This window comes from Homo sapiens, chromosome 15 (assembly GCF_000001405.40).
Source record: "Homo sapiens chromosome 15, GRCh38.p14 Primary Assembly".
NCBI classification, from domain to species: domain Eukaryota; kingdom Metazoa; phylum Chordata; class Mammalia; order Primates; family Hominidae; genus Homo; species Homo sapiens.
The window spans coordinates 89,893,542-89,914,052 of NC_000015.10; the positions used below are offsets into that span (position 1 = coordinate 89,893,542).

Here is a 20,511-nt window from a genome sequence, read left to right on the forward strand (position 1 = left end):
ATGACAGAATGTGACTTCAATCACTCAAGTTCTCATCGAGGCACACTCCCCACTGTCGCTTCTATCTCGTTCCCAGAGACCCACGGGAAAATGTCACAAAATGGCACAGAAATGCCAGGATCAAGAAAAGGGTCAGCGAGAGCGGGGCAGTAGGGCGGGAGACAGAAGGCCTGGCACCAGCCTGCGCCTAGATTAAATGCTTAAGTAGGGCGAGGGTCATGCTCGGTGCAGGAGCCCCAGGTGACCAAAGAGCGGTGCCCCCGGGCGCCGAGAGGCCAAAGAGGAGGGAAGACATAGTGGGCGCCCTGAAGGGGCGTGGTGAAGCCGGGCCGCACTCACGAAACGCTGGTAGAAGCGGACTAGCCGTGGCTTCCCATGGTTGTTGAAAACCAGAATCGCCTGAATCATCTTTGCCAGCCACGGTTCTCTCAGCACCGGCTACTCCCAGAAAGCTCCTCCTTCCGCCACAACACGATCACTTCCGGTTGGTGCGCTGCTGAGAGCGGCACTCGGAAACTTGGCCCCGGCGCTCACGAGCCCTAGCACCCAAGGGTCCGGCCTCTCTGACGCCTTGGAGGGCAGGTGCGGATGCCGAGGAGAGTGGTCACCTCGGCCAGCGTTGGTTGGCCAGTCAGGATGCGAATCCGGATCTATGTCCCTCGCCCAGACCGACGGCTGGCCCCAGAAGCCGAAACGACCGTCAGCCGGGTTGCCAAAACGGAGAGGCGGCGGGAGCTTGCTTTTCTCACCGCCCGCTCCAAATCATGCACTCCCGCCATCCCCTTAGCGCTCGCAGAACGTTCCGCGGAGTGGAGACGCCGGTCATTCGGCCGTTCGTCGGTTATGGAACATTTCGTTCATTTTAATTTTTCAGTATTATAATGCTGCAGTGAATTACGTAGCTGTCTCTCCGTGCAGATGGGCTGTTCCTCTATGGTAGACGGTGAATGGTGGAATTAAGGAATTTTTAGTGCATTTCCATTTAAAATCCCAAATCGATCAAGTTCTTATTTTTGTTTGTTCTTTTAATGACCCAGTGTGGGTGAAGTGGAGCATGTCCGTATACTGCAGATGGAGCAGCGGATACAGATGCAAATCGATCCAGAGGACTGTTTGGCGATATGGATCAGAAGCCTTTAAAATATATAACAGTCCGGGCGCGGTGGCTCACGCCTGTAATCCCAGCACTTTGGGAGGCCGAGGCGGGCGGCTCACTTGAGGTCAGCAGTTCGAGACCAGCCTGGCCAACAAGGTGAAACCCCGCCTCTACTAAAATTACAAAAATTAGCCGGTTGTGGTGGCGCGCGCCTGTAGTCCCAGATACTTGGGAGACTGAGGCAGGAGAATGGCTTGAACCCGGGAGGCGGAGGTTGCAGTGAGCTGAGATCACACCACACTGCACTCCAGCCTGGGTGACAGATATATAACATATATATATATATATATAAAACATTAGACTCAGCGTTTCCAGCTCTAGAATTTATGATAAAATGATTGTGGATGTGTGAAAAGATTTAGCCTGAGGAACATACATTTCTGCCAGAGTATCTTCAGAACAGTAAAAAAAAGAAGAAAAAAATATATATCTCAGCAGTGTTATTACAGGGGAAAATGGGAAGAAAATTATTACAAAAATGAGAAATTGGTTAAGTGCATTGTTCTACATTGAATATGAGAAATATTAAATAGATAATAAAAATCATGCTGGGAAAGATTTATGATACGGAAGTGTTCATGACACCTGTTAAGCTAAAAGATTACACAAAGTATGTACAGGGACAACCCACTTTGCTCAAGATTGGAGGCAAATACACCAAAATATGAATCATGTATCTGATGGAATGGCAGAGTCAGGGTGTTTGATCTGTACAGGACCCTGGAACCACACTGCCCTGATTCAAAGCATGGTTCTGCGGACTGCCTGGGCACCCTGGGCAAGTTTCCCCATCTGTAGAAAAGGTGTAATATCAGTTTCCTAAACTGGAAAACTGGAAAATGAGTCTACTGACTTCAGACAGTTGTTATAAACACAAAGGGAGTTAGTATAATATTTGTAAGCACTTGGACAGTGCATGGCACATAACTGAGTACCACATAAGTGATTTAAAAACATCTTTGGGTGGTAGGATTATCAAGTTTTCCTTTTTTTCCTTCAAAGAAATATGTACTACTTTTGCAGCCAGAGTTCTGGGGTTTGCTTGTTTGTTTTTCAGAGATAGGGTCTTACCCAGGTTGGAGTGCAGTGGCACAGTCATACCTCACTGTAACCTCAAACTGCTGGCCTCAGGCAATCCTCCAGCCTCAGTCTCCCAAACCGCCACCACGCCTAGTCCAGTTTTTTGTTTGTTTGTTTGTTTGTTTGTTTGAGATGGAGTCTCACTCTGTTGCCCAGGCTGGAGTGCAGTGGCACAATCTTGGCTCACTGCAACCTCCGTCTCCCGGGTTCAAACAATTCTCCTGCTTCAGCCTCCCCAGTAGCTGGGATTACAGGCACATGCCACCATGCCCAGCAAATTTTTGTATTTTTAGTAGAGATGGGGTTTCACCACATTGGCCAGTCTGGTCTCAAACTCCTGACCTCAAGTGATTCACCCATCTCAGTCTCCCGAAGTGCTGGGATTACAGGCGTGAGCCACTGCGCCCGGCATGGCCCAGTTTTTAAATAAATAAAAACCAAAAGTCAGTTGCACTGAAACTTGACAAAATGTTTAAAATGTTGAGGAAGAATATCAAAGAAAATTCTGAAACAGAATTATGAAGAAGAACTAGCTCTGCCAACTATGAAAACCTACTTTGATGGTTCAAATTGTAATTATAGGAAGAATAACTGAAATATTATAAATAATTTAGGCATAAAATAATTTTAATATGTGATGTAGGAGTGGGAAGGAATTCAGTAAATACTATTAGGATAACTGGTTAGCAATTTGAAAATAAGTAGTTAGGTATAAAACCAGATAATAACCTAAACAGAAGAAAGCGAAATTGAATAAGATCCAAAAATCTGTATTAGCTTAGAAGCAATAAAAATCACAAAACATCAACAGATATATAAAGTTTTTTTATAAAAAGAATTATTTAATGGAAAAATCGTTGTTAAAATATGGCAAATGGTTATATTTAAAATGCAAATAACTGATAAACTAAAAAGATAACACTCCCCATCTCCCCAGTAGATAAATGGACGAAAGAACGAATAACAAAGGGAGAAATACAGCTAGGAAAAGGAAAAAATGTTTAAGCTCACTATAAGTGGGGGAAAGGCAAATTAAAATATATTCAAATATTATTTTCACCTCATCAAAAATCATTTTAAAAATGTTTTCATACCCAATTCTCACAAGGGCAGCATAAAAATGGTTCTCCCCTACATTGCTGGTGAAATTATGGTTTAGAACAACCCTTTTGGGAAGCAATTTGGCAATATAACAAGAACTTTGCAAAAGATTTCTAGATTCTCAGTAATATGACTCCTGGGCATCTGTTCCTAAAGAAATAACCCAAAAATATAGTTAGAGGTGGGGAATTAAGAGAACTATATAATTTTCAACATTTTTGGAAACATTAATTCTGTTAGCCACACAGGGATCAATTTTAAATATCCAAAAGTTGGACCATGACAGAACTATCCAATGGTAGCAATCTTAAAAATAATGGTTACAGGTGGGCGTGGTGGCTCACGCCTGTAATCCCAGCAATTTGGGAGGCTGAGGAGTGAGGATCACTTGAGATCAGAAGTTCAAGAAAAGCCTGGCTGACATGGTGAAACCCCGTCTCTACTAAAAATACAAAAACTAGCCGGGCGTGGTGGCGTGTGCCTGTAATCCCAGCTACTCGGGAGGCTAAGGCAGCAGAATAGCTTGAACCCGGGAGGCAGAGGTTGCAGTGGGCCAAGATCGCGCCATTGCACTCCAGCCTGGGCAACAAGAGCAAAACTCCATCTCAAAAAAAAGAAGAAGAAAAATGGTTACAAAGACTATGCAGCAATATGGAAAGTGATTATGTGTGGGCATAGTGTTACAACAACTACCTACAAGCATTACAGATGTTTCAGAATTTGTCTAGCAGGTTTTCCAGTTTGTACCAGAAAACCCCTATGCAAGTTTACAAAAACCAAAACTATGTACACAAATTACATGCTAAAAAACCCAAATACTAAAAATTATGAACATGACTGAGTGAAACTATGAGTCTTTTTTTCCCCTTTAAATATATTTCCTAAATGCATTGCTATTTGTGGAGATTAGTTTAGTCCCTCAAAAAATTTTCCCATAATGTCCGGCACTGTGGCTCATGCCTGTAATCCCAGCACTTTGGGAGGCTGAGGAGGGTGGATCACCTGAGGTCAGGAGTTCGAGACCAGCCTAGCCAACATGGTGAAATCGCATCTCTACTAAAAGTACAAAATTAGCTAGTCGTGGTGGCGCAGGCCTGTAATCCCAGCTACTTGGGATTACAGTAATCCTCCTGCTGAGGCAGGAGAAACTCTTGAACCTGGGAGGTGGAGGTTGCAGTGAGCCGAGATTGAGCCATTGCACTCCAGCCTGGGCAACAAGAGCGAAATTCCATCTCAAAAAAAAAAAAAAGAAAGAAAGAAAATTTCCCATATGAATGAAGCTCAGAGGATTTGCTTGGTTCTGTTTGAAGATACAAAATAACTGTAATTTCCATCATTAGGCCCATGGTGAAAGGCAAGCTGGACACTGGTGGAAGAAAAAAAAATTCAGATGGGTAGAGGAAAGGGACCTCCCTCCAAGAAAAGAGTCCAGGCAAGGCAATGCAAGTGGGGGAGTGACCTGCTCTGGGAACAGCCAGCCCCTCCATGGGACCAACACAGCCCTTCCCAAACTGTTTCTCACAACAGCTGTCCCATGAAATGCTCCTCACAAAAACGGGTTCTCTGACCAAAGAAATGTGGGAAATACGTAATCATACCCTGTCCTGAAGAGTTACAGTAAATGTTAGTATAGTTAAAGCTCCAAGAAATCCTACAGAAATGTTTGAGTTTAACACTACGTTTGTTCCAACAAATTAGATCATAGAAACACCACCACTTTTTGTTTCTAGCCCTATTAACAACCTGTGGAAGATCCCTCAGGCTGGTCTGAAAGAATCGCCCCAGAGCTCTTAAGGAGGAAGCGAGCCGAGAAAGGAGGGTTGTGACATTGTGATGAGCTCTGAGTTGTATTAAGGAATTTGAACTTTTCATCTGGGGAGTAATAGGATCCAGTCTAGCTTCCAAAAGCTGCCCCTACCAGCCACATGGGGGCCCCTGAAAGCAGGGTTTCAGCCCTGCTGTAGTTCCTCAACTCCCCACAGGTGTATCTAGGAAGGCTTCTGCCCTGGCTGGGCCTGCCCTAATGCCTGAACCAGTCCTGACCAGGGCAGGAGGTATGGCAAAATCAGGGGCTTTGGCCTCACCATCTGCCCATGCAGATGCCTATGCCACAGCAGCTTCCTATTTTCTCCCTTCCTAGTCCCTAGTCCTAGGGAATAGGATTTTACCTCAGTGTCCCTACCTGCTGAGCCTGGGACCCTATTCTTTTTTTTTTTTTTTTTTTTGAGACAGGGTCTCACTGTGTTGCCCAGGCTGGAGTGCAGTGGCAATCTCAGCTCACTGCAACCTCCACCTCCCGGGTTCAAGAAATTCTCATGCCTCAGCCTCCCAAGGCGCTGGAACTACAGGCATGTGCCACCATGTCCGGGTAATTTTTGTATTTTTTGGTAGAGACGGGGTTTCACTGTGTTGATCAGGCTGGTTTCGAACTCCTGACCTCAAGTGATCCGCCCACCTCGGCCTCCCAAAGTGCTAAGATTACAGGCGTGAGCGACTGCACCCAGCCCTGGGGCCCTGTTCTTATCCTCAGCCCACTTGGTTTTCCCATCCCTAGGGAGCTAGTTTCAGTTCTCTATACTTCTTAGCCACAGGCTGGGCTCCTGCTAAACAGCAGGTCACCCGGAAACATAACATCACTACTTGTGCACCACAGCACTGCCACTCACCCAGAATCTGGGCATCATTCTTGATCCCTTCGTCTCCCCCCAGGTCCTGTTGATTTTGCCCCCCGAATGCCCCTCAAATCATTCTCTTCTTTCCATCTCCCCTGCCACTGCTATAGACCAGACCCCTCTAGCCTCTCACCCAGGCAACTGCAGCAGTCTCCTAAAGGAGCAACTCGCCTCCAGCTGCTCGGCAGTCAAGTGACCTTTGAAACACAGATCAGATCTTCTCACTCTCCATGGGATCACTGGCTTCCAGGATGTTAAGGATAAAGTCCCCAATTCCTTAACATGCGTGAGGATGCCATGCCCAATCTCCAGCCTCATCTCAAACACCAGCCCCCATTCTCTGAGCTCCAGACACAATGGTCTTTCCCTTCCTGAAGCCCATCCAAGACACCCCGCCCTTTTTGTTGCTTTAGGACCTCTCCTATTGACACACTGGGCCTCCTTGTTTGGAATGGTGACCTGTCCATATAAGTGTGCCATACCCTTTGGACACAGTGCTTTAGACAGCAGGATGTCTAAAGACACTGGGTGACTCTACCCCCAGTCAGTGTCCCCAGCTATCCTTCTGCTCAACCACCTCCCTGGCCACCCCCATGGCTGAGGTCCCAGCATGGCCTGCCTGTGAGAAAGTCCCATTCAGACACAGAACACCAGTGAAGTGGCTACCACATCCTCTGGCCCCTGTTTCCAAGACCTTTCTGAAGGGCAAGGAAGCAGGGGACAGTGGAAGGAACATAAGGTTTGCTTTTGACAGCTCTGGGTTTGAATCCTGATTCTGCTACTCATTAGCTGTGTGACTCTGGGCAGGTTGCTTAACCTGTCTGAGACCCTTTTCCTGCTCTGTAATATGAATAGTCCGGTAGTTAAGAATGTGGGCTTTGAAATCTGAGTGCTTGGATGTAAATTCCTCTTGCCACTGTATACTATCCTAGAGCTCTGAGCTTTAGTCTCATGAGAAAATGGGAATAATAATCAGTACCTCATGGACTGTTGTGAGAAGTACGATATCGCAAGTGCTTAGCACAAGTATGAGTAATTATTATCATGGAAATCATCTAGCATTGTGTTCGACACATTAGGGGGACTCCATAATTATTAGTTCACCACCACCCTCTCTTTTCCCAAGTCAAGCAAGATCCACATGCCACCAAGTCCTGACGACATGGAGACTTCAATTCCAGGTCTCTTCACAGATCTGGGTGTGGGTATACTACCCAAAAGGCAGTGTTCATGAGCCAAGAGAAATGGCTTCCTTCTCATAGGAACATTGCTCAGCTGAAAGGCCGTTTACACCTGACAATAACCCAGTAAGGGTGGAGGAATTCCTTTCTGAAGATTTACTCATTCATAAAAAGTTCTCCAGGTACAAAACAACAACAAAAAAGGTATTCTCAAAACTGTAGCCTGGCAGAGTGAGTCTGAGAGATGCGGACCAGCCAGCCACGCCTGGGAACGCTGTTGGCCTCTCTGGGAATGGCATCTACCAGGAAAGCAGCCAGGGATGTCAGATAACAGAAACCCCAGAGGTGGCATGGGAACATTTGAGGGAGTAAAGAACTGGCAACTCAAGGTAGGGGGAAGGTACAAGGGACACGGAGGCTTGAAGCAGGATAGTACAGGCTACAACACAGAGTGCTGAGGAAGGGGTGGGTGGGGAAGGAAAGCAGGAAACAATGAGAACGGAGGAAGAGCCCCGCTAACTTCTCTCAGCTGCTCTGCATTTAGACAAGGGATATTCCCCACTCCGCACCAATACCAGGTCCAGTTACTCTCAGGCTGTCCTAGGGTCTCTCCCACCACCTGCCTCTACAAACAAAGCTGCTATCCAGGGCCAGGGTCAACATGAGGCTGGGTGCAGTGGCTCACGCCTGTAATCCCAACACCTTGGGAGGTGGAGGGGGGTGGATCGCTTGAGTCCAGGAGTTTGAGATCAGCCTGGGCAACATAGTGAGACCTCCATCTCTAATTTTTTTTTAAAGGGTCATCATGTAATGTCTAGGAAGGCTAGACTCACATGCAGGGAGGGGCCCTCCCTGAGCCACAGCATGAGGCCCCACCACCAACACAGTGGTCATGGGTTTGGTTTTAGCAGAGCTTGTTCAAAGAGTATTCCAAGGTGGCTATGGGGAAGAACCAGGTAAGACTTGGCAGACTGTTCTCTCCAGCTCCAGAGTAGAAGTTCATGGAAGAAATGTTCCACAATGCTACAGAAGGTGCTGGTGCCCCCAGAGGCAGCCACGTCCCTCAGTCATCCTAGAGAAATCCAAGGGGTAAAGAGATGTGGAGACAGCACATGTCATAAACGTCACTGCAAGTTATCAGACAAACAAGGGTTCAATTGCGTGGTACCTGTGGGGCCCATGAGTGCTTGCCTGGGCGCCTCATTAGAGCTGGCCCGGCAGCTCCAACAGCTCTTGGACTGTTTTTCAGTCCAAGATTCGCTTTATGAAGACAAAAAGGAATCCAGACACTCTCATCTGCGTGCGCCTGCTTTCTCTGGCAAAAGACATCATCTCCATTACCTAGATAAATAGTGCATTTTTCTGTGACTTCGTTGCTTCAGATGTTCATTTTGAGGCCAGGTGTGGTGGCTCAAGCCCGTAATCCCAGCACTTTGGGAGCCTGAGGCAGGTGGATCACCCGAGGTCGGGAATTCGAGACCAACCAGCCCAACATGGAGAAACCTCGTCTCTACTAAAAATACAAAATTAGCCAGGCATGGTGGCGCATGCCTGTAATCCCAGCACTTTGGGAGGCTGAGGCAGGAGAATTGCTTGAACCCGGGAGGCAAAGGTTGCAGTGACCTGAGATGGCGCCATTGCACTCCAGCCTGGGCAATAAGAGTGAAACTCCGTCTCAAAAAAATAAAATAAAATAAAATAATAAATGTTCATTTTGGGGCCTTATGACATCAATTCAAGTCTTTGGGTAAAATATACTTCAGAAAAACAACTGTGAACCTGGGCAACATGGCAAAACCTCGTCTCTACAAAAAATAAAAAAATTAGCCAGGCGTGGTGATGCATGCCTATAGTCCCAGCTACTTGGGAGGCTGAGGTGGGAGGATCATTTGAGCCCAGGAGTTCGAGGCTGCAGTGAGCCATGATCGTGCCCCTGCACTCCAGCCTGGGCAACAGAATGAGACTCCATCTCCCAAAAAAAGAGAAAAGAAATGAAAAGAAAAGCAACTGTGAATAGGCTGAGGATCAACGTGGGGACTGACTCTCATCAAAAGAAAAACCAGTAAGGACCAGGTCAGCCATTCTCCAGACACTTCAGGCAAGGAGCCCAAACCAAAGGAGGAAAAACTACGCATTCAGTTGTTCAACTGCCTCAGCATGGTTAATGTATTCACTTGAAGTAGAAATGTTTTGAGACTTAATGACCATGATTAATATCCCTCTGCACCCCCTCCTTCCTACCACTTGGGAATCTTTGGGGAATAGTTAGGTTCAGAGCCACCTACAAGAAAGGTCCCAGGTTGTCATTCTTCATACCTTAGAGGAATTCTCCTGATGCTAACACATTCCCAGGTGTTTCACAGAATTCCACTAAAGCTGGGGGGTAAGATTCATCCTGTCGTCTTCTCATCCTACCCACAACCTCAACCAGTATGTACCATGCTCCTGCCAGGAGATACAACTGCACCAACACCAGGTACCTACCCACTCCTCGTCCTCTGCCCCATCCCCCTGCTCTCGGATCTCCGCTGCAGCCCCCTTCGAACACTTTTGGGCCATGATGTTGTCTGTCCAGGATGCCCCTGTCTTTCCATCACCAGTGAAATTACACTTGGTCACTGTTCCAGCCTCAAGTTTGGCCAATGAATCTGAAAGAAGAGATGAAATTGAATGTCCTCTGTCCCTGTGGCAGAAACATAGTGAGGGCTGGGCCCATTATGGTGGGGTCCCCTAGGCCTGGGTTAAACCACTGTTTTCTCCAGGCATAGATGTGGTCAATGAGCCCCTGGGTGGGACCCCCAAGGTATGGTGGGAGAGTCGCTCACAGGAACCATGGGATTGGGTGGCACCCGGGGATCCAGGCTGTCGAGCCCAATGGCCCTAGGGCACTTGTGCAGGGATTTAGGAGTAAATCTCAAGGGCTTGGTCGTGTCCCCATGGAGGCCAGCCCTTGCCTGCTCCCATGAGCTCTAGGCAGAAGGGAGGCCAAGAGCCCCCATGGGCCACACAGGAACAGTGGGCCACAGTGAGGGTTGCATTGCTCACCCAGGAAGGGACCATCGCCCCGAGTCTTCAGCCGTACCCCGGCCCCCAGCTCGAGTTCCATCACCTCCATCTCTGACTCGGGCATCCAGAACGCCACTGTGTGGTCGGGGGTGAGGCTCTCTGTCAGCGCGAGCAGCTCTGGCTTGTTGACCAGCCCCTTCAGCGCCTCGGGCGTGAGCCTGTCAGTGTCCCCCTTGGCTTCCACCTCTGCAGGCACAGAGCGCAGGAGGGTCATTATCACTGTGGCAGCAAGAACTTCCGGAGGGCCTCTCAGGAGCCAGGTGAGGGCTGAGTGTTTCCAAGCTCAGTCACCCGGAGGCTGGGACTCAGTGCCCATTCTGCGAGTCCTCATCAAGGAACTCCACAGCAGAGGCGGACAGGCATGAGCTGGGGACAGGCAGCCTGGTGCAGATCTGGGCTCCACAATAACTTAGGCAAGTTACATCACCTCTCCGTACCCGAAAAATAGGATAAAATCAGAACCTACCTGACAGGACTGAAATGACGTATAAAGGAAATAAAGCATGTAGCACAGCGCCTGGCACATGGACCCCTAGGTAAGCATTCATATGTTTTCACTATTCCCATCTTACAGATGAGAAAACTAAGGCTTAGAGAAGTTCAGTAATTAGCTCAAGGTCACACAGTAGTAGAGGAGGCAGGATTCAAAGCACCCCAACACATTCCATCTTGAGACCCCGGTGGCCAGGCAGGGTTCTCTCCAGGCTCTCAGGGTCTACCTGGCTGGGGTGAGGTCTACTGGAACCAGGAGTAAACTCTGGTAGTCCCCCTCCTCTCTCCTGGCCCTGGCAGAGTTCATGGACTAAGGGAGGAGTCCTAAATCCAGGTGCTGGATTAGGGAAGGGGCACTCCCGGACTGTGAAGTGGGCCCAGCCTCCCAGGACTGTGTGTTCACAAGGCCACACCCCAGCACAGCAACCCCGGAGCTTGTCCCACAGGCTGCCTGCGCCACGCCAAGCCCAGGTGGCCGCACTTCACTGGAGAACATCCCAGCCAACCCATGAACACATTTCATGGAGCACATTCCATTCATGGTGTACAACCTCAGCCAACCTCTGCCAGGGGTGCCTTCTGGGACTGCACAGGTGGCTGCTCCCACAGGACTGCTCCATCCTCCTCAGCCCTCTGCCCTGACACCCTCTAGACAGAGCATCTCACTTTCTTTGCAAGGTAACAGAAGCCATCAAGTGAGACCTCTCACTTCCCTGACCACTCACCTGTCAACCCTTTTTTTTTTTTTTTGAGATGGAGTTTCGCTTTGTCACCCAGGCTGGAGTGCAGTGGTGCAATCTCGGCTCATTGCAACCTCTACCTCCTGAGTTTGAGCAATTCTCCTGCCTTAGCCTTCCGAGTAGATGGGATTACAGGCGTGTGCCACTACACCCAGCTAATTTTTGTATTTTTGTTAGAAACGGGGTTTCACCATGTTGGCCAGGCTGGTCTCAAACTCCTGACCTCAGGTAATCCACCCATCTCAGCCTCCCAAAGTGCTGGGATTACAGGCGTGAGCCACCACGCCCAGCCATCAACTCACGTCTGACCACACAAAACATCTCCTCTTTCCTTCTGTCTCAAAGGATAGGAGGCCTCTCCTCCTGCCTCAAGCCAGCTCCTCCATCTGGGCTGCAGATAGACCCCTTCCCCCCTCCTGAGGACCTGTCTCTCTCTCCCCACTCCTTGACCTTTCCTCAAGGCCTTCCTGCGTTCTGGCTTTGACACCTACTGCTCCAGACCCCATGTACCCCCACCAGAGTCACCGGTGAGCTCTTAACCTGCAAACTTCTTGGATGCTCCATATCTCAGACCTAACTAACCCGTGGGCAGTGCCTGACCCCACTGCTAGCTCCTCACGCCTGTTCCCCTTGGCTTCGCGGGGCTTTAGAGACATGACACCTTCCCATCCCTCGGACCTTTCAGTGGCTCCATCTCCTGCTCTTCCTTCTCCATCCATCTCCTATTGTTGCTATTTCCCAAGACAACCTCCTGGGCCCACTTCTTTTCTCCTCCTGGGTAACTGGGTCCACTTCCATAGCTTCAATACTCTCGATGTGCTGCAGCCCAGTTCTCTCCCCAAGTTCTAGAACTATCCTCCAAGGCCTCAGTAGACCTCTACCCAGCAGTGCTCCTGGCAACTCAAACTCAGTGTGTTCCAAACAGACCTCCTCCCCACAAACCTCTCGCCCCTCCATTTCCCCAAGTCTGGCACCGATGCCCAACCCCTGGCATCATCACGACTCCTTCCTCTTCCTCCCCAGTAGCCAAGCCAACACTGAGGCCACTGTGCCTCCTCTAGCTTGAGCTCCTCCAGTCTCTGCACCCCCACTGACAGGTCCTTAATCCTGGCCTTCTTATCTCTGTCCTAGGTGACCCTAACAGCTTTTTCACAGGCATCGCTGGGCTCCAGGCTATTTGCCTCCCTGGAGATTTTCAAACACAGACCTGATCACATCACCTGCCTACTTAAAACCTCACTACAGGGCTGCCCTGCACCCTTGGTTAGAGTTGAGCTCCTCAGTGCCCGCCCCTCCTGCTGCCTGCCCTGCATGGCTTCTCATACCTGGGTCAGGAACTCTTCAACTGCCAGGCATTGGGCACCCTCTGCCTCTCTGAAACACCCTGCAAATCCCTGGCACCTGGCTGACCTCTGCTTATCTTTCAGGATTCAGTCCTGTTATTCCCTGCTCTAGGGCATCCCCAGCCATGCCTGCCTGGGCTCAGCACCCTTCACGGGATCCAGGCCCGGGCCTGTCCATCTCCTCTACTGGACTAAGAACATTTCAAGTATACGACTGGGTCTTGTTCATCCCTGGACCTCTCAGCATGTGGCACAAGGGCTGGCACATGATATAGATGGTCCCTAATGTTCAGAGAGTCAATGAGTAACTGAAGGTATGAATGAATAAAGTGATAGAGTCCCACTCAACCTCAAAACCTTCTCACCCAGGGGCAGACAGCAAAGAGGCTCAACCAGAGACAAAATCAGGAAGAAGAAGAAGATCATGGAGGGCTTGCTATGGTTGGAATGTATCCCCCAAAATTCGTACGTTAACAGGAGGCTGAGGCAGGAGAATCGCTTGAGCCTGGGAGGCGGAGGTTGCAGTGATCCAAGATTGAGCCACTGCACTCCAGCCTGGGGGACAGAGCCAGACTTTGTCTCAGACAGCAAAAGAAAAGGAAAAAAAAAAAGTCAAACTCAGCTGCCTTTCCTCCACTGATGGAGTATGGACATAATGCCTAGAAGTAAAGTGGCCATCAAAAAGTATTATTATTATTATTACTATTTTTTTTTGAAACGGAGTCTCACTCTGTTGCCTAGGCTGGAGTGCAGTGGTGCAATCTCGGCTCACTGCACCTCCACCTCCTGGGTTCAAGTGATTCTCCTGCCTCAGCCTCCCAGATAGCTGGTATTACAGGTGCACGCCACCATGCCCAGCTAATTTTTGTATTTTTAGTAGAGCTGGGGTTTCACCATGTTCGCCAGGCCGGTCTCGAACTCCTGACCTCAAGTGATCCACCCACCTCGGCCTCCCAAAGTGCTGGGATTATAGGCATGAGCCACCACACTCACCCTAAAATTTTTTTAAAAAAGAAAAAAAATCATATGTTGAAACTTAATCACCAATGTGATAGTATTAAGAGGTGGGACCTTTAGGAGGTGAGTCATGGCATACGAGTGGGATGAGTGCTTTACAGAAGAGATTGAAGAGAGAGCCGCCTTGCCTTCTGCCATGTGAGGACTCAGCAAGAAGGCACCGTCTCTGAAGCGCAAAGCAAGCCCTCACCGGACACTGAATCTGCTGGCACCCTGACCTTGGACTTCCCCGCCTCCAGAACTGTAAGCCAGACATTTCTGTTCTTAAGTAGGTGCAGTGGCACACACCTACAGTCCCAGCTATTCTGGAGGCTGAGGAGGGAGGATCACTTGAAGACTATAGTGTGCTATGATTGCACCTGAGAATAACCACTACACTCCAGCCTGGGCTACATAGCAAAACCCAGCCACTAAAAATGCACAAAGAAACAAAAATTTTAAAAATTAAAAATAAAATAAACAAACACATTTCTATTGTTAATAAATCACCCAGCCTAAGGTATTTTGTTATATAGCACGCACGGACTGAGACCCCAGAACCAAAAGAGGATTTGGGCAGTAAAACAGAGACCGCCTAGGGCCTGGCCTGGGCTCTGCACAAAGGCAGTTAGAGCCCAAAGCCAGGTTTGTGGGTGATTCTGCCAGATACAGGAAATGGCAGGAGGTGGGAAGGCCAGCCTGGCCCCTGGAATGGAGGGGAGGGAACGGGGATCCTCTGAGTAAATGGGAGGCAAGGCCAGGGGTGGATGTGGAAGCCTCAGGCCACATACAGGGCTTCAACATCAAGAGGGCTGAAGAGACACTTTCCAGGGGCTAAGAGGCTCAGAAGAGAAAGGCCGCCACACTGCAGGAGGGCCCTGAGGGAGAGAGGGAGGGCAGAGGATACCTACTGTAGGACGACATGAGGAAGCCCGTGTTCACCTTCCTGGTGGCGCTGAAGTTGGGCTCGATTTCATTTCCCTTGGCGTCGAATTTACGGCGATGGATGTGACTGGGCCGGATATACAGCACGTAGTAGCGCTCCTGGGGCCAGGCAGACAGAGAGTGAGGGGGCGGCTTCATCCCACAACACACACACTCTGGGCTCCGGCTGCAGCCCCGCCAACCTCACATCTACCCTAGAAGCCCACCTCAGCTCCAAAAGATGTTCAAGCTAGGCAGATGCTCCCTCTGCCCCCAAATACTTATGCATTCATGGGTTCACAAGAGCACCTGCCGCATATAATGAGCCCTGCTAGAAGTTCCTAACAGGGCAAGCCCAGGGCTTCCACACAGCCAAAGACAAAAAGTATATATAGAAAACCATAACTTGGGCTGGGCACAGTGGCTCACGTCTGTAATCCCAGCACTTTGGGAGGCAGTGGCGAGTGGATCACGAGGTCAGGAGTTCGAGACCAGCCTGGCCAGCATGGTGAAACCCTGTCTCCATCAAAAATATAAAAAATTAGCCAGGTGTGGTGGCATGTGCCTGTAATCCCAGCTATTCAGGAGGCTAAGGCAGGAGAATCGCTTGAGCCCAGGAGGCGGAGGTTGCTGTAAGCCGAGATCCTGCCACTGTACTCCAGCCGGGGAGACAGAATGAGACTTCATCTCAAAAAACAAAAACAAAACAAAACAAAACCATAACCCAAGCCCGAGGACCGCAAATACCATGAAGCAGGAATGGGCGCTGCCAAGGTGCAATGGAAAGGGCACTGAAAAGGAGCCCTGGGTGAGGGCAGCCACTCTGCCCCTTCCAACAGCCTGGGACAAACCACTCAGTTTCCCCATCACATGGGGATAACGTGATGTCTGTGTTTAAGAATATTATGAGGGTTCAATGAGATAACAGAGGGGCAAGCACAGTGCCAAGCGTGAACTGTGCTATAAGTGCTGTTTGCCAGTTGTTCAAGGCAGGTGGGTGAAATGCTCCCAGGGCCTGAAGAATAGGAGGCCACATCCTGGTGGAATCAAGAAAGATGAAGTCTTGGAGGGTAGGGAGGTCTGCCAACTGTGGGAATAAGAAGCTGTAGGAATAATATTAAAAGCCTGGGACAGTATAGGAAATAAAAGCCAAGAGGCCCTTGTGCATGTTTGAGCCACGCAGGGCACCTGGAGGCCTTCTGGGAGCCCAGGCTGGGAAAGCAAGTGGGCTTGGTTCAGGACAGGTCTTGAGTTGGCATTCGGAGTTTGGATTTTATTTGATGGACAAGGAATCCTGAAAGGTTTCTGAGCAGCAGTGAGACCCTCAGAGATGTATTTCTGGAAAGACATTTGTCCTATTGGCAGCAGGGCAGGGATGAGTTCTGGGGACAGCCAGAAGGCAGGGGGACAGGTGCAAGGTTTTATCAGGACAGGCTGAGGGCCCATCTCAGGTAAGCAGCCATGGAAAGAGGAAGGGAAGGCAAGGGAGGGGGAGGAATGGGCAAGGGCCCAATGCCAGCAGGGCCTGGCATTGCTTACCTGGGGAGGAGACAGTGAGGGTTCCCAGCCCGGTGGCTGGGAGGGCAACTGCACCATCACCAGGAATGGAACTCAGAGGAGGCAAGTTTTAAGAGGGGCTAGGAGAAGGCCCTGCCTGACGGCAGATGAGGCAAGCAAGCCCCACATCAGCATGGAGACACTGCTGGGCTCTCCTGGGCAGGCTAGCTAGGGGCTCTGATGGGTGTTCCCACCTGCCCACTGTGTGCTAAGGAGGGGAGGGTGCAGCAAAATACCGCCTGACATGAAAATAGTGCTGAGCTGTTCTCATGGGGTACAGGAGGGACATGCAGGCTCCATGTAGCACCAGGCCTCTGGCCCTACTGGAGGGGGCATTTTTAGAGACCAAGCTCAGTTATAGAGATCAAGGAGATAAGGTGGTCAGCACATCTAGGTGGGGCTATTTGAAGGGGGAGTGGAAAGTCGGAACTAGCGCTCCGAAAAAAGACACAGGCTAGTACTGGATGGTAAATGCCAGGTGTACCCACAGACACCTGAGATGGGGTGGTGATACAGGACATGACCCCAGGAGGCTGAGAGGGCAAAGGCAGCCAGGACATCAACATGGGAACTGAAGCCCCAGACACTGTCAGAGTTTACATTCAGGCAAGACTGGGGTTTAGGGCCTGGTCTGCCTTCTCAGCCATGACCCAGGCTCTTCTGGCAAGAACACAGGCCCTCCCACCTGTCTGCTGCTCAACACAGCCTTAAACTATTCTTCCAGCTGGTGGTCCCATTTGGCTATAAATCTCCTGACCTACTTCCCACTTGCTTTCTAAGCCCATCAAGAATCCCAACTCATGGCACTGGAAGGACCCAGCACAAGGAGATGCCACAGTGGATGATGACCGTGAAGTCAGTGCCCTCTAGCTAGCACCGAGGAAGCATCCTCACCTTCCTGCCATGAGTGTCCAAGATGCTGTGCCGAGATACATCGATCAGTTCTCCCTCCAGCAGGACACCATTTCCCCTGGGGATGAAAGGGAAAGAAAGGATAGCCAGTTTTGTCAGTCCTCAGCAAATCTCACCCGTGTCTCCTATTTACCCAGCCCTGAGAAGGCTGGGTACTGAGCAGCTCCTTTCCCCGTGCTTCCGACATAGGGATCTCCAAAGGGTCCCAAAGGCTGGGGCATTGCCCAGATGCCAGGAGGAACCTTGTCAGGCTGCCCTAAGATCAAGCTATGGCCCCCTCCTACAAGGCCACTGGGAGTTACTGGAACCAGAGCCTCAGTCTTATCTACAAAATGGGGAGGAAAACAGCTGCCTCACTCTGCTCCTCTGATGTTGACACAAGATCATGTGTGTGAAGGTGTTTTGTAAGCTATTAAGTGATTACTAAATACAAAAGATTTTACTTTTTTATTGGTCCAAATGTGAGGGTAGGTATCTAAGCTGCAATAAACTATTTTCCCTTTCCACCTGTTTTTAAACACTCTCATATTCCTTTTCTCATTCATATCCAGGTGGTCATTAACCCGAGGAAATGGTTATTACTGAGAGGTGAAGAAACCAAAACTCAGAAGTCTGAGACTAGTCCAAGATCACACGGTCCTTCACTGAGGGGAAGTGGACCCCTGGCTTCTCGACTCTGGTTTTCATAAAAGCAGAACGTGGAGGCTTCCTTTTTTGCATCCACAGAAATGGAGAAGCATGGGGACAGCTGAAGATGACAGTGGAATAGGGATGGGAGTGGGAAGTGAAAACTCTACCTAGCTGGTCTCTATCCAATTCTTCCCCACCCCCCACAATTATTTTTCTAAATATTTAACTGACAAAAGACTGTATATATTCAAGGTGCACAACGTGATGATTTAAGTACACACTATGTAATGATTACCACAGATTAATGAACACACCCACCAGACCCCATGCTGTACATTAGGTCCCCAGAAATTGTTTATTCTATAACTGAAAGTTTGTACCTTTGATCATTACCCCATCCCCATCCACTATCCCCTGGCAATCACTGTTCACTGTTCTACTGTTTCTTTTCTTTTGACACAGTCTTGCTCCATCGCCCAGGATGGAGTGCAGTGGCACAATCTCGGCTCACTGCAACCTCCACCTCCCAGGTTCAAGCGATTCTCATGCCTCAGCCTCCCAAATAGCTGGGATTACAGGTATCTGCCACCACGCCCGACTAATTTTTGTATTTTTAGTACAGACAGGGTTTCACCATTAGGCTGGTCTCAAACTCCTAACCTCAAGTGATCCACCCGCCTCGGCCTCCCAAAGTGCTGGGATTACAGGCGTGAACCACAGCGCCTGGTCTGTTCTGCCGTTTCTATGGTTCAACGCTTTTATAGGTTCCATATACGAGATCACACAGTATTTGTCTTTCTGTATCTGGCTTATTTCACTTAGCACAATTCTTCAGCGCAGTTGTAAATGGAATGGTCCCTTCGGCCTCATAACCCTGTGACGACAGGGCCTGGCCCTCCAAATCCTCCTCACCCAGGCAGGCCCTGCTCTGGACCAGCCCGCCCGCTGTTCCCGCCACAGCACGGCCACTGTCCCTTCTGGGGCAGGGCATGAGTCTGTGCAAAAGCAGCGCGGCAAGTAGCTGGAGTTTATAGTTACGCGGGTGGGGTGGGGCCGGAGGTCGGCGTGAGGCGAAGCCCAGCCTTCGGAGACCTGTCTGGGGGTCGGGACCCTCTCTCGAGGGCAGGCGGACAGGCGGGGAGCTTTAAGCCGATCTGTGTCATGGGGTCGCTGGGCGGGCGCGGCGGCAGGGGCGCCGGGAGCGGCGGACTGGAGGGGCGGACTGAAGGCGGAGAGGCGGCTTTGGCAACCCCAGTTTTCCCCCACCCGCATCCCACCCCCCCACCCGATCCTGTTGCGGGGTTCGAGCCGGGGCAGGGGAGGCCGACCCGAGGCCGTGAGCCCAGGCCTACCCCTGGTGGGCGGCGGGGTCCCAGGCCCCTGGCAGCCGGACGCTCTGCACCGCCTTGTTCCGGAGCGCGCCGTCGTGGTAGATGCGGCTCATTCTCCCGACCGCCCGGGCACCCCGGCACAGAGCCGGCGCACTGGGCTGGGGGCGCGGCGCGGGAAGTGCTGCAGGACGCGCGGGGACCCGCGATTCCCAGCCGGCGGATCCGGGAATGGCGCGGCCCGGCCCTCAGGCGTTCCTCGGCGGGATTTAAAGGGACCGAGCTCCATTCCTGCACGCCAGGCCGCGCGCGGCAGGAGTTGGGCTTCCGGGAGGACCCTGGCTGGGGGCTTAGCACAGTGGGGCAGAAAGGCCATGCTTTTCTCTTGTCTCTCTCTCTTCCTCATTCCTAGAGGAAGATCCCTGCCCCAGCACACGCACAAAAGGGAAATTGAGGCCCCAAGATCCTATTATAGAAGATCCTTTGTAGGATCAGCCCGGGAAGGATGGGTTTCTGGGAAGCAGGAATGGAGAACAGCCACTGGGGAGGATTGGGTGGTCAGCTTAGAAGCTGTCCATTATGCCCCGCCCGCGGCCCTACAATGGCTGAGTCAGGTATCCCAGGGATCTGTGACGAGGGAGCTGGGGCATGGGTGTCGGACCAAAGACGCCTAAGTTTGAATCCCAGCTGTGAGCTTGGGCAAGCTCCTCAACCTCTCTGAGCCCATGCTTCTTCGTCTGTAAAATGGGGTCAGTATCAGGGGGATTGTAAAGTTTAATGAGCTCACCCTTTCTACAACATAGCATTGCCCTCCCTCCTTCTTCCTGCACAGCTCCTGAACTCCTCCCTGGCCCCACAATGCCCTTTGCCCAAGTATGTCATAGTCCGCAGGTGCATTTTCCAAGCCTGGTACAGAAGATTCTTCTGACCCTGGGATTGTTGAGGAATCTTTGTTCTTTTGTTTGGCTTCTTCGTGCCAGGCCTCGGGGCAGGTGGGCCCATTCAGGGAGGCCAGGTGTACCCCGGGAGAGGGGGCGGCATTTAAAGGGGGTGGTGGCCAGGCAGGTGCCTAGGAGTCTAGCATGAGCTGTCAATGTTGGAAGAAGAAAGCACCCTCTCCCTTCCCTGCTACACACACACACACACACACACACACACACACACACACACAGACAATGACTTTCTTGGGTCCTAGGCACTTTTGTTTTCAAAGGACCCTTTCTCCATTAAAAATTTTTTAAAAAATTATTATCTTACCACTGGGTTGGCATAAAGATGAATATATGAATTATATATATATATATATATTTTTTTTTTTTTTTTTTTGAGACAG

General features: G+C 50.3%; 3 protein-coding genes and 1 pseudogene across 6 annotated transcripts in view, besides 3 other annotated features; 1 reads left to right on the forward strand and 3 right to left on the reverse strand.

The window, feature by feature from the left end:
* Positions 1–453, reverse strand: part of AP3S2 (adaptor related protein complex 3 subunit sigma 2) — a 63,396-nt gene extending 62,943 nt beyond the window's left edge. For all 3 annotated transcript variants that reach the window (NR_037582.2, NR_023361.2, NM_005829.5), the window contains exon 1: positions 340–453. Coding sequence is in view for 1 of the 3 variants with exons in the window: in NM_005829.5 (NP_005820.1) it covers positions 340–408 (69 nt within the window). In the remaining 2 variants the exon portion in view is untranslated. The remainder of the gene's footprint in view (positions 1–339) is intronic.
* Positions 1–19,411, reverse strand: part of ARPIN-AP3S2 (ARPIN-AP3S2 readthrough) — an 82,354-nt gene extending 62,943 nt beyond the window's left edge. Inside the window, exons 1-5 of the mRNA NM_001199058.2 lie at positions 19,203–19,411; positions 17,203–17,278; positions 14,739–14,871; positions 10,236–10,442; positions 9,675–9,838 (exon numbers count right to left, since the gene is read on the reverse strand). Of these exons, the coding sequence (NP_001185987.1) occupies positions 9,675–9,838; positions 10,236–10,442; positions 14,739–14,871; positions 17,203–17,278; positions 19,203–19,294 (672 nt within the window). The 5' untranslated portion in view covers positions 19,295–19,411. The remainder of the gene's footprint in view (positions 1–9,674; positions 9,839–10,235; positions 10,443–14,738; positions 14,872–17,202; positions 17,279–19,202) is intronic.
* Positions 484–633: an enhancer, noted in NCBI's record as "active region_10058". NCBI's record gives its function as "activates an Ori minimal core promoter by ATAC-STARR-seq in GM12878 lymphoblastoid cells {active_cell/tissue: GM12878}" and the evidence as "EXISTENCE:reporter gene assay evidence [ECO:0000049][PMID:35858748]".
* Positions 988–1,735: an enhancer, noted in NCBI's record as "H3K27ac-H3K4me1 hESC enhancer chr15:90437761-90438508 (GRCh37/hg19 assembly coordinates)". NCBI's record gives its function as "activates a minimal SCP1, AML or CMV promoter by ChIP-STARR-seq in primed H9 embryonic stem cells {active_cell/tissue: H9 hESC(primed)}" and the evidence as "EXISTENCE:reporter gene assay evidence [ECO:0000049][PMID:30033119]".
* On the reverse strand, positions 1,465–19,411 carry ARPIN (actin related protein 2/3 complex inhibitor). 2 transcript variants are annotated; one of them, NM_182616.4, is made up of 6 exons: positions 19,203–19,411; positions 17,203–17,278; positions 14,739–14,871; positions 10,236–10,442; positions 9,675–9,838; positions 1,465–8,262 (listed from the first exon to the last, which is right to left on the reverse strand). In NM_182616.4, the coding sequence occupies exons 1-6, from the start codon at positions 19,292–19,294 to the stop codon at positions 8,254–8,256; spliced, it is 681 nt and encodes a 226-aa protein (NP_872422.1). In that variant the 5' UTR covers positions 19,295–19,411; the 3' UTR covers positions 1,465–8,253. The 2 variants fall into 2 exon arrangements, with proteins under 2 accessions (NP_872422.1, NP_001269309.1); NM_001282380.2 differs by lacking the exon at positions 19,203–19,411 and adding an exon at positions 18,511–19,146.
* RNU7-111P (RNA, U7 small nuclear 111 pseudogene) lies at positions 4,035–4,096 on the forward strand (annotated as a pseudogene).
* Positions 15,572–15,756: a silencer, noted in NCBI's record as "fragment chr15:90452345-90452529 (GRCh37/hg19 assembly coordinates)". NCBI's record gives its function as "represses an EF-1alpha promoter that drives an FKBP-Casp9 reporter gene in an ReSE screen in phorbol 12-myristate 13-acetate-treated (for megakaryocytic differentiation) K562 erythroleukemia cells {active_cell/tissue: K562(+PMA)}" and the evidence as "EXISTENCE:reporter gene assay evidence [ECO:0000049][PMID:32094911]".
* Positions 19,412–20,511: the final 1,100 nt, after the last annotated feature.